The sequence below is a fragment of the Homo sapiens genome, chromosome 10 (genome assembly GCF_000001405.40).
Source record: "Homo sapiens chromosome 10, GRCh38.p14 Primary Assembly".
Classification (NCBI taxonomy): domain Eukaryota; kingdom Metazoa; phylum Chordata; class Mammalia; order Primates; family Hominidae; genus Homo; species Homo sapiens.
In genome coordinates, this window is record NC_000010.11 from 67,808,191 (window position 1) to 67,825,765 (window position 17,575).

Here is a 17,575-nt window from a genome sequence, read left to right on the forward strand (position 1 = left end):
ATCAGCATCAATAAAAGATATCAAATGACAGCAATTGATACAGACTAAGAGAGAGACTAGAAAGGGGAGAGTCTACAGCAAGATAATAAAATGCACAAGACAGAAAATCTATATATGCATGGAAGGAACTAACGCTAAACAGACAGCAAGCCTAGGTGCAAAGGCCACTAATCTTAACAGTCTGTGAAATTTCTATGTTGTTATTCTGCCTTCACAATTAACTTGTTTACTAGCTTTCTTGAACGAGTTGGTTTTTTTTCTCTAGGAAGTCATTTTCTTACATTCTAGACCTTGGTCAATACTAGGAAATAGTGCTCGTCTCAGCAGCACATATACCAAAATTGGAATGATACAAAGAAAATGATCATGGTCCCTGTGCAAAGACAACAGGCACGTTCGCGAAGCATTCCATTAAAACACACACACACACACACAAACACACAGGGAAATAAAAAATTTTGTTTACATGCCAGTAAACATTGGCACAACATTTTTTTAAATCCATGGACTCAGATGAGCCATAGATCAGCTGAATAGCTATACAAAATTGACTGGTTATTATTATCCTGGATCAGTGATCACCATGAGTGGATTTTTCACTTATCAGGGTGATTTCTGACCTGCTTTTGGATAACATCCAATTAAGACAGATTGCCTTTTGAACCAGCAGAAGGTGTTGAATTGCATACTGTTTCCCATCTGGCTGGTGAAACTGTGGCCATGTGGGCATAGTGTAGGAAGCTTTCTGGATAGGTAGTCTATGGCCAGTTGAACCCACCCCAAAGACACCTTGCCCAGCTGGGAACCCAGAAACAATCAGCAGACAAATAGGTCCACACGAGGCTGACCCAACAAGCCCTCCCAGAGGCAATCAATTTGTCAAATGATCAATTCACCAAAAATGTGTTTCTATTAACTCTTTATAAAATTTACAGCAATTGAAGTGGCATAAGATAGTTTTAACGGCTTATGAGAATTTTTTTTAGCCATTCATTTTGACTGTGCCTTTGCTGTGGCTTCTTTTTCCCATAGGCATCCTAAATCCATGCTGCCATATATTTTGGTGCTAGAGGGAGAGCCATCCACACCCTGGGTCTCTTTGGGTAAAACCATTTAGCATGACAAAGATACATTTCCCTAAGATTCTCTGGAATCCTGGGATAACTCTTCAGGTTATCCCAGGATCCCAAAGGCCTGAATTACTGAATCCTCACTCCAAACCTTTTTTTTCAAACCAATACTACATGTCTAAATTTAAATCGCCAACATATTCATTGACCTGGGTGAGGTCTTAAAATATTTTTACCAATTAAACTAGCAGGAGGAACTTCTAGAAAACAAAAAGAAATAAATAAGTAGGTAGTAAAGTGACAGACTTAGTGTAGGGAAAAAATACCAGTTCAGTTGCATCACTCCTGGATGATAGAAATGTGGTGGATATATACACCATGGAATATTACTCAGCCCTAAAAAAGAGCAAAATAATATCTTTTGCAGCAACTTAGATGGACCTGGAGGCCATTGTTCTAAGTGAAGTAACTTAGGAATGGAAAACCAAATATTGTATGTTCTCCATTATAAATGGGAGCTAAGCTACGGATACACAAAAGCATACAGAGTGGTATAATATAATGGACTTTGGAGACTCAAAGTGGGAGGCTGGGACGGAGAGTGAAGGATAAAAAACTACATAATGGGTACAATGTATACTACTCAGGTGATGGGTGCGCTAAAATTTCAGACTTCACCACCATACAATTCATCCATGTGTCTAAAAACCACTTGTATTAGTCCATTTCACACTGCTGTAAAGAACTACCTGAGACTCAGTAATTTATGACGAAAAGAGGTTTAATTGACTCACAGTTCCTCAGGCTTAACAGAAAGCATGACTGGGAGGCCTCAGGAAACTTACAATCATGGCGGAAGGTGAAGGGGAAGAAAGGGCCTTCTTCTCATGGTGGCAGGAAAGAGAGAGAAGGTAGAACTGCCACATACTTTTAAACCATCAGATCTCATGAGAACTCACTATCATGAGAAAAGCAAGGGGGAAATCTGCCCCCATGATCCAATCACCTCCCATCAGGACCCTCATCCAATTCAACATGAGATTTGGGCAGGACACAAATCCAAACCATATCAACACTTGTACCCCAAAAGCTATTGAAAATTTTTTGAAGTTTTTAATTTAAAAAAATGTGGCACCCCTGAGGCTGTGGCTCGTTTGAGGAATTCTCCCAAAGGAAATTCCCAAGATATGATCCTGTGTGTGATGCTACAAAAGTACACCGTGATTTGTCCTGCCTTGTGGGTATAGGGACTAATAATGTTCCCAAACAATGCTTTTCCGTTCCAGAGGGATTATACTATTTAAACAAAAAGCAGAAACACAGGGTTGATGGTGTGAAGGAAAGGGAATTTATGAGATTTAACAATCTAGCCAGGTGCGATGGCTCATGCCTGCAATCCCAGCACTTTGGGAGGCCGAGGTCTTTTATCAACAATTTGCTCAAGTCTTCTAAAATAAAAACTATGAAGAAGGAAATCTAAATGTAACCCTGAAGGGCTATAATTTAAGAGATGTGAATCATTTTATACACTAATTCTAACAACTGTCCCTGAAAACTTACCTATGAGGTAATTTCTGTATTATAAGTCCCATGTCATAGAAAAGTGTTCCAATGGAGAGAATCTAGGTAATAAATCATGCCTAAATCTTTAAAATTACATTTTGTCTATAATATATAAAGGTCAATGTTGAACAAAATAAATATATGACAGTAATTATAGTGAATATTTTGATATTTATGCCTTTTAATGACATGAAGAAAGATAACACAATGTTTTTAAAGTCTAACAATTCTTTCACCAGAATGTTTAATAGGAATAATTCATGGCTTTCTCTGACTAATCAGATCCTGCCTTTTTAATGAAAATTCTAAGCCTTGAAAAGAGAGCAAGCTGACATAAACTAAAAAGATGGAGAATGTGAATTTACAATGGTTAAAACTCAGCAATTCATGAGCAACTTGAGAAGTACATTTATTAGAGCTCATAAAATAGTAAGCAATAACAGGGAGTGTGTATACTGAAACAAACAGCCAAAGAGATTGAAAGAAATGTAGTCACAGGCTCTTCTGGCACAAATTCATTGCCTTTATTCTGATGAGCTTCTCTTCATGGGATTTACGGACACTGAATTATATCCAGACTCTGCTAACTTCTTGGTTTTCTCCCTCCTATCGCCTAATGACTCTTTAAGCTACTACATGAGTCTAATCCATGGGCATCCTGAGCTTCACAAATTCACGTCGCACCCAGCGAGAAACCCACCGTCTTCACTGAGTCATTCAAAGCTTCCCACTGCTGGAATGGCATCGACATCTGGCTCCTTCGCCAGTGGTCATAGCGGGCTCGACTCTCTTCATTGGTCAGAATCTCCTTTGCCTTCTGCAGTTTCTGAAAAGTCTCCACTGGAAAACAAATCAAGAAATGAGCACTTCTCTCTCGGAGAGGATATTTTAAACTCCAAAACTATCCAACTGCTCTTACTAAAACCATGACTGCCACTTAATAGCTATGTGACCTTGGGCCAATTTACCTCATTAAGCTTTTGTAAAGGGTATCATAAGGACAAGCAAGATCATGGATGTAAAGTGCTCGGCACAGTTTATCCACTCCCTGTATTGTGCCTCAGTCATGTGCCAGAGGCTACTCCCGGTGCTGATGACACAGATGTGAATAATAGACATTATTAGCAGGGGAAAGAAACATTTGTAAACATTGAAAAAATACTATTCCACCTTATAGGAAGAAAACTACCTTTTTTAGTGCTGGGTGTGAAACAGGGCAGTAATTAGGCAAGAGGGACAGTAAAACTGAAGACTATAAAGACTATAAAACTGAAGACTATAAAGACTATAAAGACATGACTGAGGCACAATACAGGGAGTGGATAAACTGTCCCAAGCACTTTACATCCATGATCTTGTTTGTCCTTATAAAGCAGGAAGGAGCACGGTGACTTAGAGGAAGTAGTAATTGCCAGTGTGGCTGGAGGACACAAGGCTAGGGAAAGAACGATGAGGGATGGGGCTGTAGAGTAGACAGACAATAGCTCAATCAACCAGGGCCTGAGATGTCATGTTAAGGATGCTGGCCTGCTTTTTGTCGTAAGAGAAACGGGAGGCTTTAAGTATAATAAATAACATGGTAGATGCTGGGACAAATGGTAGCTTGTCACTAATCTACTTGACCAGATGGTATATAATAGAAACCTTTTATGGCTCTGTTAGAAACACCTCCAAAGTCTCTTCTGCTCCTCAGTGAAGTAAAAACTTTCTGCAGAGCAGAATACAAGATTTATATACAGGCCGGGTGCAGTGGCTCAGGCCTGTAATCCCGGCACTTCGGGAGGACAAGGTGGGTGGATCACGAGGTCAGGAATTCAAGACCCAGCCTGGCCAAGATGGTGAAACCCCATCTCTGCTAAAAATACAAAAAAAAAAAAAAAAATAGCTGGGGGTGGTGGCAGGCGCCTGTATTCCCAGCTACTCGGGGGCTGAGGCAGAGAATTGCTTGAACCTGGGAGGCAGAGGTTGCAGTGAGCCGAGATTGTGCCACTGGACTCCAGCCTGGGCGACAGAGCGAGACTCCATCTCAAAAAAAAAAAACAAAAAAAAGTAGCCAGGCACGGTGGCCCAGGCCTGTAATCCCAGCTACTCAGGAGCCTGAGGCAGGAGAATCGTTGGAACCCGTGAGGCAGAGCTTACAGTGAGCCGAGTTTGCACCACTGCACTCCAGCCTGTCCGACAGAGCAAGACTCCATCTCAAAACAAACAAACAAAAATTCATATGTTGAATTCTTAACTCCCAAAATGATAGTATTAGGAGATGGGGCTTTTGAGATATGATTAGATCATGAGGGTGGAACCCTCACGAATGGAATCAGTGCCCTAATAAAAGAAACCCAGACAACTCGCTCACTCTGTTTCCCCCATGTGAAAACACAGCAAGAAGACAATTAGCTAGGCATGGCGGTGGGCGCCTGTAATCCCAGCTATTTGGGAGGCTGAGGCAGAAGAATCTCATGAATCTGGGAGGTAGAGGTTGCAGTGAGCCAAGATCACACCACTGCACTCCAGCCTAGATGACAGAGCGAGACTCCGTCTCCAAAAAATAAAAAATCAATATACAAATATCAGTGGTGTCTCTACACAGTAGCAATGAACAATCTGAAAATGAAATTAAGAAAATTCCATTTATAAGAGCATCAAGAGCCGGACCCAGTGGCTCATGCCTGTAATCCCAGCACTTTGGGAGTCCGAAGTGGGCGGATCACGAGGTCAGGAGTTCGAGACCAGTCTGGCCAACATGGTGAAACCCCGTCTCTACTAAAAATACAAAAAAAAAAAAAAATTAGTTGGGTGTGGTGGCAGGCGCCTGTAATCCCAGCTACTCAGTAGGCTGAGGCAGGAGAATCACTTGAACCTGGGAGGCGGAGGTTGCAGTGAGCTGAGACCATGTCATTACACTCCTGCCTGGGTGACAGAGCAAGACTCTGTCTCAAAAGAAAAAAAAAAAAGCTTCAAGAAGAATATAATATTTTTAAAAAATTGAACAAAAGAAGGAACTACACAATATTGTCAAAAGAAGCTAAAGAAGATCTAAATAAATGAAAAGACATCCCACGTTCATAAAGATTTACTATTGCTAAAATGATAATACCCCCCAAACTGATCTGCAGATTCAACATAATCTCTATCAAAATCCCAGTTGCCTTTTTTGCAGAAATTGACAATCTAGTCCTAAAATCTGTTTGCAAATACAAGGGACCCAGAATTGCCAAAAAAAAAAAAAACTCTTGAAAAAAATAAGAGCAAAGTTGGAGAATTCACACTTCTGAATTTCAAAACTTATACTACAAAGCTACAGTAGTGAAAACAGTGTGGTACTAACATAAGGATAGACATACTTATAAATGGAATAGAATTGAGAATCCAGAAACAAACCCTTACATTTACAGTCAATTGATTTCAACAAGAGTGCCAAGACAATTTAATGAAGAAAAAAAATAGTCTTTTCAACAAATGGTGCTAGGATAACTAAATATCAATATATAAAAAGCATGAATTTAGATTTCTACCTTAAGCTATAAACAAATATTGACTCAAATGGATCACAGATCCAAATGTAAGGGTTAAAACCATAAAAAACTGGGAAAAAAAAAACATAGGAATAAATCTTTGTGACCTCAGCTTAGGCAAGAGCTCCTTAGATATGACACCAAAAGCACAAGCAACAAAAGAAGAAATAGATAAATTGGACTACATCAAAATTAAAACTTTTGTGCCTCAAAGAATACCATGAAGAAAGTGAAATGACAAACCATGGAATGGGAAAAAATATCTGCAAATAATATATCTGATAAGGTACTTATATCTAGAATTTATAGAGAACATTTACAACTCAATAATAAGACAAATAACCCAAATGCAAAATGGACAAAGGGCTTGAATGAACATTTCTCCAAAGAAGATATACAAATAGCCAACAAGCACCTGAAAATATCCTGAACAGTATTAGTCCTTCAGGAAATACAAATCAAAACCATAGTGAGATACCACTTTATACCTACTAGGATGGCTAAAATTAAAGGATAATAATTGTCTAGAATGTGAAAAAATTGGAACTGTCACACATGACAGGTGGGAATGTAAAGTGGTATATAGTCACTTTGAAAAGTAGTTTGGCTGTTCTTCAAAAATATTAAGCAGAGTTGCCATATGACCCAACTATTATAATCCTAGGTATATATCCATGAGAAATGAAAACATATGTCCACACAAAAACCTGTATATGATAGCAGCATTACTCATAATAGCCAAAAGTGAAAATAACACAAATGTCCATCAACTGTGAATTGATAAACAAAATGTGGTATATCCACCTAAAAGAATTATCATCCAGCCATAAAAAGGAATGAAATGTTGATATGTGCTACAACATGAATGAGTCTTGAAAATATGCTAAATGAGGCTGGGCACGGTGGCTTACACCTGTAATCCCAGCACTTTGGGAGGCCAAGGTGGGCGGATCACCTGAGGTCAGGAGTTCAAGACCAGCCTGACCAACATAGAGAAACTCCATCTCTATTAAAAATTCAAAATTAGCTGGGCGTGGTGGTGCATGCCTGTAATCCCAGCTACTTGGGAGGCTGAGGCAGGAGAATCGCTTGAACCCAGGAGGTGGAGGTTTCGGTGAGCCGTGATCACACCATTGCGCTCCAGCCTGGGCAACAAGAACAATACTTCGTCTCAAAAAAAAAAAAAAAAAAAGAAAAGAAAAAAAAAGATGGGGCTATTGAAAGCTACAGGAAAACAAATGAACAAATAAAAGTATCTTGCCATAGCAGCTTGGTCCAGCGAGAGCAAATCTTCCTGTTGCTGACGACAATGTAAATGTCCCATTGTATAAATGATACGTCACTTTTTCCAACAGGAATAAAAAGCTTATTAAATTACCACCAAGGATGCACATGCCAGTTGCTACTCATGTGGGGCTTGTAAAGATTTATGTATTTATCTGTGAGTCACCTTCTCTTTTCACATCATTGTTGGCTTCGCTTTCTAGAATTCCCAGAATGAAAGAAGCTGCTTAGAATTATTCTGATGTAAGTCCCTCAACAACAGTTGATAAGCAGAAAGAAAAAAGAAACCTTATCTTTCCTATAATGTGACCTTTCTCTTGTTCCATCCACTTCACCACATTTAACAAAAGTGAGTTTGGGTTTATATTTTTCCATTAATGTAGCAACTAATCAAATGAGCCACACAAGGTAAACACTTGCCAGTTCTGGGAAGAGAGATCTCATTTTGTAAGCTTATAGGAGCAAATGATGCTGGAAGTCTTGCGAGACATTCTGATTTAACTCCTGGGTCTACCTTCAAAATATAGAGGTTATTTTAAATTCATATTTTGCAATAGAATTTGTATTACAACAGTCACATTTTAAATGTATGCCATTTACAATTACTTAAGAAATAATAATATGATGTCAAAATATGCTTTGAAAAAATCTGGAAGAAAATATACCAACTGTTAATAGTGGTTCTCTATCAGGGAAAGATAAAAGCAAACTTTTTCTTCCAACATTATTTATTAATTATGTTATTTTTATTATATGGGGAAAAACAGTAAAGACTATAAAGTAAAAAAAAAATTGAGACATTAAAAGATGTTAGTTAACAAAGGACAAATTGCTCCCCTTCTTCTAATATCCAAATGTCCTTGAAGTTTGCACATCAGTAACAAAAATACCATTCCACAGGTTCTTAGTCTGAAGTTTACTTTCTTTTTTTTTTTTTTTTTTTTGAGGCAGAGTCTCTCTCTATAGCCCAGGCTGGAGCACTGTGACACAACCTCAGCTCACTGCAACCACCGCCTCCTGGGTTCAAGTGATTTTCCTGCCTCAGCCTCCACAGTAGCTGGGATTACAGGCACCCGCCACCACACTCAGCTAATTTTTTGTACTTTTAGTAGAGACGAGGTTTCACCATGTTGGCTAGGCTTGTCTCAAACTCCTGACCTCATGTGATCTGCCCACCTTGGCCTCCCAAAGTGCTGGGATTATAGGTGTGAGCCATCACACCGGCCTTAAGTCTACTTTCTTCATGGCCATGGAGAAGTTAATATAGTGCTAATCTGAAACAGTTACTGTCACCCACACAGAGCGCTGGCATGAGCACCAGCCAGGAGCTCTGGGGCTCAGTGACACTATTTTTATAGCAAAGTCAGTCCTGTCTGCAGCACCCACATCTGGAGAGGGGAAGGGATTTCTGGTGGCCTTAGATTTACTTTTTTTTTTTTCAGGGAATAAAAGAATGATCTAATCATTACTTATAAAAAGAGAAAACTATCCCATCACGTTAAATGTTTACCTTGGGCTGCTACATAAAACAAGGAAAGACAATCCACTGAATTAAAATTGCCAGCATCCATTAAGCACTTTCCACATGCAGGACTCCTCATTTAATCTTCACAGCAGATGCATGAAGTAATATACTACTAGTCTACCTGTTTTACCTACGAGAATGCTGAGGCTTGGAGAGATTGCCCAAGATCAACTAGACTGTAAGTGGAATGGGAGCAATCCAGACAAACAAGCCTGTGTTTATATCCACTACTCCATCATGCTACCACATCAGTAATTTCAATGGCAACAGTTGAGACTATATTTAGTGGACGAAAAAGGTATAGATATAAGTTTAATTTATCCTACCCAAAGTTCCTCTACTGTCTAGCTTTTCACCTTAATTAGATACATTTCAAAATCTTTCCATTACATTCTGAATTTCTGTCAAGCTAAACTTCAGTATCCAAGTGAATTTTTAAAGATATTTTGAGGCTGGGTGCAGTAGCTCACTCCTGTAATCCCAGCACTTTGGGAGGCCGAGGCAGGTGGATCACTTGAGGTCAGGAGTTTGAGACCATCCTGGCCAACATGGTGAAACCCCGTTTCCACTAAAAATAAAAAAAATCAGCTGGGCGTGGTGGCACACACTTATAGCTCCGGCTACTCAAGAGGCTGAGGCAAGAGAGTCACTTAAACCCAGGAGACAGAAGTTGCAGTGAGCTGAGATTGTGCCACTGCACTCCAGTTCGGGCGATAGAGCAAGACTCCATCCCCCCAAAAAAATAAAAAATAAAAAAAGAGATTTTGAAATAGTCTGGCCAGGCACAGCAGCTTATCCCTGTAATCCCAGCACTTTGGGAGGCCAAGGAAGGCAGACTACTTGAGTCCAGGAGTTTGAGACCAGCCTGGGCAACATGGCAAAACCCCGTCTGTACTAAAAATACAAAAAAATTACTCAGGTGTGGTGGCGCACATGTGTGGTCCCAGCTACTTGGGAGGCTGAGGTGGGAGAACTGCTTGAGCCTGGGAGGTTGAGGCCAGCAGTGAACCAAGATCGCACCACTGCACTCCAGCCTGGGAGACAGAGCGAGATCCTGTCTCATATATATATTTGAAATATTTTCATCAGTAACCTTAATCATCCAAGTGTGTAAAGATCCACATAAACGTTCAGAAAGTTGTATTAATGAAAACTGAGTAAACGGATGCTTAAATAGATTAAAAAACAACCTCTACCCAAAGGTTGAATCATATATCAAATGCATGCCTGCCTAGAGAAGATATTGATGTCTGTGTACCTTTTCATTTTAAACAATATTTACACAGTCCACTGTTTCTCTGAACAAGACGCCTTGAGGCAGCCCATACATGAAAACCCCCATCACTATGGCAACTAGAAATGGCAATAATTACACAGTGATTCATCATGTATCCTGAATAAAAATTGTTTGTCAGGGACAGAGAAACAACTCACAGTCATGCTTCACTGAAAAGAACCCAGTTAAAGAATAACCTGGGGTGGTGGTGGTTTTTAAGTGTTTATCAAATTTTTATAATTTTTTTTTTTTTGAGACACAATTTCACTCTTGCTACCCAGGCTGGAGTGCAGTGGCGCGATCTCGGCTCACTGCAACATCTGCTCCCGGGTTCATGCGATTCTCCTGTCTCAGCCTCCCAAGTAGCTGGGATTACAGGCATGTGCCACCACGCCCGGCTAATTTTGTATTTTTAGTAAAGACAGAGTTTCACCATGTTGGTCAGGCTGGTCTCAAGTTCCTGACCTCAGGTGAACCACCCACCTTGGCCTCCCAAAGTGCTGGGATTACAGGCATTAGCCACCGAGCCCGATCTAAATTTTTATAATTTTATGCTAGGACACCTATCTTAATATTAACTCCAGTTCAGACAGGTAGTTAATATGAATCCTAAAGAAATGTTTGGGCCAGGGGTCGGGAGCGGTGGCTCACGCCTGTAATCCCAGGACTCTGGGAGACCGAGGCGGGCGGATCACGAGGTCAGGAGATTGAGACCACCCTAGCTAACAAGGTGAAACCCCGTCTCTAGTAAAAATACAAAAAATTAGCCGGGCGCGGTGGCAGGCGCCTGTAGTCCCAGCTACTCGGGAGGCTGAGGCAGGAGAATGGCGTAAACCCGGGAGGCGGAGCTTGCAGTGAACCAAGAGATAGCGCCACTGTACTCCAGACTGGGCGACAGAGCGAGAAGCCGTCTCAAAAAAGAAAAAGAAATGTTCGGGCTAGGCTCGGTGGCACATGCCTGTAATCCCAGCCCTTTGGGAGGCCGAGGCAGGCGAATCACCTGAGGTCGGGAGATCAAGACCAGCCTGGCAAACATGGTGAAACCCCTTTTGCACCAAAAATACAAAAATTAGCCAGGTGTGATGGCGCACGCCTGTAATCCCAGCTTCTCGGGAGGCTGAGGCACGAGAATTGTTTGAACCTGGGAAGCAGAGGTTGCAGTGAGCCGAGATCATGCCACGGCCCTCCAGCCTGGGCAACAAAGTGAGACTGTCACAAAAAAAGAAAGAAAGAAAGAAAGAGAAAGAAAGAAAGAAAGAAAGAAAGAAAGAAAGAAAGGAAGGAAGGAAGGAAGGAAGCAAGGAAGGAAGGAAGGAAGGAAGGAAGGAAGGAAGGAAGGAAGGAAGGAAGGAAGGAAGGGGAAGGAAGGAAGGAAGGAAGGAAGGAAGGAAGGAAGGAATGTTTATGCATTCACTTATTCAAGAAATTGTGCAGAATAGGTGTCCTCTTCAGTAAGTGCCATGCTAGGGGCATACGACTGTGAACAAGACAAGCAGGGCGTCTGCCTTACTGAGCTTCCAGAATGACTAATAAGCAAACATGCAATAAGGAGACAGTGTGACACACAGTCTACTGCCTGACGTACAGGGTGCTCTTGTTAGATGGGACACATGGGACTTCCCAACTGATGGTCAGCTGAGACCTGACACAGAAGCACAAACTGGCCAAGTAGTCAGGGATGTGTGTGAACCATGGAGTGTTTCAGGCAGAAAGCATCAAGCATAGAGGGCTGGAGTGTAGAAAGAGCAGAGCACATGAATGAACTAATGTAATTCTGAGTGGCTGAAACATGAAATTCTAGGCATGGTGAAGGAGAGCAAAAGGGGATGGAGAATTAAGGTACACAGCATGAAGGAATTTGTGCCTAAAGGCTCAACAATGACAAAGGATGAACTACTGCACAGTATAACACAGACATAATGCAAAGCGAAAGAAGCTACACACAAAAGAGTACATACTGTGTGATTCTATTTATATGAAATCCAAAACTGCAAAACTAGTCAATGGTGATAGAGATCAAAAAATGAGAGAGGGTGCTGACTTTGAACAGGAAGGGAAAAGGGATTTCTGGGGTGCTGAAGATGCTCCACATCTCTCTGGGCAGTGGTTGACCTGGATATACATATGCACAAATTTATCAAGCTCACACTTATTATTTGCTCATAGTACCTTAAACAAGTTAATAAAAAGGGAAAAAAAATCAAATGAGCAGAAGCAATAGTTAAATATCTAACAAAAGATGACCTCACATATAGAAAAAATGATCTGTTTTTGCAAATCAAAGGAATCAATGATTTCTAGAGAAAATTAATAAAGAACCTTAAGACAAGGGACAAGGAAAACATTTTCTTTTTTCCTTTTTTTTTTTTTTTTTTTTTTTGAGATGGAGTTTCACTCTTGTTGCCCAGGCTAGAGTGCAATGGCGCAAGCTCTGCTCACCGCAACCTCCGCCTCCTAGGTTCAAGCAATTCTCCTGCCTCAGCCTCCCAAGTAGCTGGGATTACACGCATGCGCCACTAGGCCCGGCTCACTTTGTATTTTTAGTAGAGACACAGTTTCTCCATGTTGGTCAGGCTGGTCTCGAACTCCCGACCTCAGGTGGTCCACCCACCTTGGCCTCCCAAAGTGCTGGAATTACAGGTGTGAGCCACTGCACCCAGCCAAGGAAAACATTTTCTAAATAAAGAAGAGTTTGGATTTGTGCAATATGGAATTATAGATAGGTCTTAGTATGATATTATCCTTATAGAAAAAGCACTTATACACACATGCTATACGCATATAGTAAACATAACTATCAAATTTAAGATATAAGGCCAGGCACAGTGACTAACACCTGTAATCCCAGCACTTTGGGAGGCCAAGGCGGGCAGATCACCTGAGGACGGGAGTTTGAGACCAGCCTGACCAACATGGAGAAACCCTGTCTCTACTAAAAATACAAAATTAACTGGGCATGGTGGCACATGCCTATAATCCCAGCTACTCGGGAGGCTGAGGCAGGAGAATCGCTTGAACCCAGGAGGCAGAGGTTGCAGTGAGCCAATATCGTGCCATTGCACTCCAGCCTGGGCAATAAGAGCAAAACTCTGTCTCAAAAAAAAACATTAAGATATAATATTATCTACCCTGAGGATAAAATCAGAGTAGGAAAACACAAGAGATTTCAATTGCACTGGTAAAGTTTTAAGCTGGGCGGAACATATGTGGGCATCTGTTAGAGTATTTTTTATTCCTTTTTGTACATATTATTTTTTTCCATAATTAAAAAGAAAAATCTGCAATGAGAAGCACTTAAAGAATGCTGTAGCAATCCAAGCATGAAATGATGGGGGCTTACCTACAGCAATGGCACCCAGCATGAAGCGAGGAGGACACAGTAGAGAGAGATGAGAAAGGTAAATCAACAGTGTTTGGCAATTTCCCAGATATGGACATGAGGGAGAGGAAGGAGACAAGGCTTCCATGACACCAACTGAATGGATGGTGGTGTCCTTCATAGAGATGGGAGAACACAGAAAAATAAGCGAGATTTCAGAGGAGGTGATAGGAAAATAATGAGTCTAATTTTTGACAGGGTGACTTTGAAATGTTTCCAAATGGAAATTTCCCAGAAGCAGTCAAAACCACAGTCTTAAGATGGGGAGTGAGAACTAGGTTAAGGATAGATTTGGGAGCCATCAAAAGAGCTGGTGATTTAAGCTACAGACCTGGACAAGGCTTCAGGAGAAAATGGGGAGTGGGCTCAGAAGAGAGCTTAGGAGGGAACCTTGGGGCAACAGAAGAGTCACAAAGGAGACTGAGAGAAAGCAGCCCAAAGAGGCTGGAGGAGAACCATGAGTGCATAGTATCCTGACAGCTAAAAGAAAAAAACTTTGTTTCAAGGAGGAAGGTATGGTCAACAGGGCCAAATTGTGATGCAAGTTCAGGGGAGATAAGTACCAAAAGGTAACCACTAGATTTGATACTCAGGCAGTCCTTGGTCTATTTCTGAGAAACTAGGGAAGTCAGAGTGGAACAAATGGAAAAATAGCGAGAAGGGAAATAGAGACATCAACTGTGGACTTCCTTTTCGGGAAGTCTGGGTCTGAAGAGAAGAAGAGAGGCAGGAAAGTAGAGAAGAGAGACAGGTTGCAGAGGGATTATTGGTTTGTTCATATTTTTCCCAAGCTTGGATAGGTATAAGCATGCTTAAGTGATAGTGAAGGAAAGAAACAAAAGTATGAATATATGGATATATTCAGGTCCCCAGTAATGAAGAAATCACAACAAGTTTCTCATGAAGACAACCGCCTAGCCGGGCACACGCCTATAATCCCAGCACTGGGAGGCCGAGGTGGGGGATCACTTGGAGGTCAGGAGTTCGAAACCGGCCTGCCCAACATAGTGAAACCCTGCCTACTAAAAAAATACAAAAAAAAAAAATTAGCTGGGCATGGTGGTGCACGCCTGTAGTCCCAGCTACTCAGGAGGCTGAGGCAGGAGAATCACTTGAGCCCAGGAGCCAGAGGTTGCAGTGAGACATGATCGCACCACTGCACTCCAGCCTGGGCGACAGAGACTCTGTCTCAAAAAAAAAAAAGACAACCACCTGGTTACAAATATACTTAAGTTATGTTAACACTCAATAGCTGGTGAAATAAAGCATGAACTAGAAGAATTTTAAACCACAAAGCAACACAGTACAGCAGAAAGAAAAATAGATCTTAAACGACTACTATTAGAAAAGATCCTGCACAGCCCTCTCCCTTTCTATCATCCAATAGTGCAAAGAAAGAATACGGTTGAGCATAATAGACAAGAGAAAATTGAGAAAATTAAGTTACTATTCACTGGCTTTTGGTTCTATATACTACTCATTTTCTTGAGAAGTAGCCTTTATTAAGTTCTTACCAGCTTTGGGGTTTTCAGGATGCTTGTCTGGGTGACATTCCAGAGCTCTGACTTTAAATTCTGCCAGGATTTGTTCAACCTGAAACAAAAATCAGTGTTTAAAATAAAGAGTCATGCCAGGCGCAGTGACTCACGCCTATAATCTCAACACTTTGGGAGGCTGAGGCAAGCGGATCACCAGGAATAAGACCAGCCTGGACAACAAAGCAAGACCCAGTCTCTACAAAATATAAAATAATTAGCTGGGCATGGTGACACATGTTAGTAGTCCCAGTTACTTGGAAGGCTGAGGCAGAAGGACCCCTTAAGCCCAGGAGTTCAAGGCTGTAGTAAGCTATGATGGCACCGCTGCACTCCTGCCTGGGTAACACAGCAAGATCTTATCTCAAAAAAAAAAAGGTCAAACTTAAATGGCATGAAGGAAGAAGTTGGGGCATCAATCCCCAACCCAAAACAGCCATGATCAACCCAACTTTTTTTGATCCTTATATTTCTATTTTGACTTTTTCCTCTAAGAAATAATAAAATTCAGAAAGCATCCAATAAACGCTCCTATTGAAATAGTCGTTGTGATGACAATTTAACTACTTAATTTAAATGATGGCCCAAGATACCTATGAGCTCAAAATATTTAAATATCCAGTCCAGACGTGGTGGCTCACGCCTGTAATCCTTGCACTTTGGGAGGCTGAGGTGGGCAGATCACAAGGTTAGGAGTTCGAGGCCAGCCTAGCCAACACGGTGAAACCCCGTCTCTACTAAAAATACAAAAATTAGCCAGACATGGTGGCAGGCACCTGTAATCCCAGCTACTCAGGAGGCTGAGGCAGGAGAATCGCTTGAACCTGGGAGGCAGAGGTTGCAGTGAGCCAAGATCACACCACTGCACTCCAGCCTGGGTGACAGAGCAAGAGTCTGTCTTAAAAAAAAAAAAAAAAAAATATTTAAATACCCAAAATGATCAGGTAGGTTTCTCCTAGTAATATATAAAATATCCAAATTCTTCAAAGATGCTTAGCCACCATTACTCAAGGATAACTGTCTCTGAATTATAAGTTATAATTTATAAATTATCTATTATAAAGCTCCTTCTTCCTGTCTTTTGGTCTTTTTCTTTTATATTAAGAATTTCAAAATTAAATGAAAAAGAACATAATTCAAACCTGATAATTTTGTTACCAATTAGGAGCTTCATTAGAGATTTTGACTGGGAAAACAGAAACTCCAGCCCAAACTAAAATGAGATGTGAGAGGCATCAATGATTTGATTTGATTTCACTTACCCATCTAATTCCTATTATCATGAATTATTAAGACTTGGCTTTATTAATTGTAATTGCAATTACAGCAGCAGGAAACAATAGTGGTTATGTGGCTCTAGAATCTGACTGCTTGGTTTTATTTTATTTTATTTATTTATTTATTTATTTTTATTTTTGAGACAGAGTCTCACTCTGTCACCCAGTCTGGAGTGCAGTGGCGTGATCTCCGCTCACTGCAACCTCCACCTCCTGGCTTCAAGTGATTCTCCTGCCTCAGCCTCCCAAGTAGCTGGGATTACAGGTGCCCACCACCACGCCTGGCTAATTTTTGTATTTTTAGTAGAGATGGGGGTTTCACCATGTTGGCCAGGCTGGTCTCAAACTCCTAACCTCAGGTGATCCACCCGCCTCAGCCTCCCAAAGTGCTGGAATTATAGGCGTGAGCCACCGTACCTGGGAAGACGGCTTGGTTTGAAATCCCAGTTCTGCTACAAGGCTTTAGGCAAATTACATAACATCCATGTGTCTAGGTTTACTCATCTTTACATCAGATGAATAATATAAGTAGCGCACTTAACACAAAACCTGATCATAATAAGAACTCAATAATAGTGGCTATTATTAAATATAAGTGGTTAAGTAACCTATCCAAAGTCATTCAGCTAGTTACTAAAAAGAGCTGAGTTTTTTGTTAAGTTAGCAGTCAAACTTTGTTTTTCTTTTTCTTTTCTTTCAGAGACAGTCTTGCTATGTTGCCCAGGCTGAAGTGCAGTGGCTAGCCACAGGCACGATCCCACTACTGATCAACACAGGTGTTTTGACCTGCTCCATTTCCAACCTGGGCAGGTTCACCCCTCCTTAGGCAACCTGGTGGTCTCCCACTCCCGGCCATATTGATGCTGAACTTAGTGTGGACACCCCGTTGGCACAGCACTACAGCCCAGAACCCTTGGGCTCAAGCAATCCCCTTGCTTCAGCCTCCCAAGGAGCTGAGATTACAGACATGTGTCACCACGCCCTATGGCCAAATTCATCAGGCTTAGGAAATTCTCATGGGGTTCCATATTTACTAACCACTAATTATCAGTTCCGTGTCATCCTTAGTCAACTCTCATAAGGAATGTCTTCACTTTTACAATCAAAGTCAGACGGTATTAGATACGCATATGTATAAAACCCAGACTAATAAC

At 41.1% G+C, this 17,575-nt stretch overlaps 1 protein-coding gene and 2 pseudogenes across 2 annotated transcripts in view, besides 1 other annotated feature; 1 reads left to right on the forward strand and 2 right to left on the reverse strand.

Moving 5' to 3' along the window:
* The window catches only part of DNAJC12 (DnaJ heat shock protein family (Hsp40) member C12), a 41,520-nt gene that overhangs the window by 11,522 nt on the left and 12,423 nt on the right, over positions 1-17,575 (reverse strand). Inside the window, exons 2-3 of one of the 2 annotated variants that reach the window (NM_021800.3) lie at positions 15,124-15,202; positions 3,334-3,473 (exon numbers count right to left, since the gene is read on the reverse strand). In NM_021800.3, coding sequence (NP_068572.1) covers positions 3,334-3,473; positions 15,124-15,202 — 219 coding nt within the window. Of the gene's footprint in view, positions 1-3,017; positions 3,474-15,123; positions 15,203-17,575 lie in introns of those variants that run through there. The other variant, NM_201262.2, reaches the window with a different exon arrangement.
* Positions 312-418, forward strand: RNU6-1250P (RNA, U6 small nuclear 1250, pseudogene; annotated as a pseudogene).
* Positions 10,695-11,196: an enhancer, noted in NCBI's record as "H3K27ac hESC enhancer chr10:69578643-69579144 (GRCh37/hg19 assembly coordinates)". NCBI's record gives its function as "activates a minimal SCP1, AML or CMV promoter by ChIP-STARR-seq in primed H9 embryonic stem cells {active_cell/tissue: H9 hESC(primed)}" and the evidence as "EXISTENCE:reporter gene assay evidence [ECO:0000049][PMID:30033119]".
* Positions 17,120-17,404, reverse strand: RN7SL394P (RNA, 7SL, cytoplasmic 394, pseudogene; annotated as a pseudogene).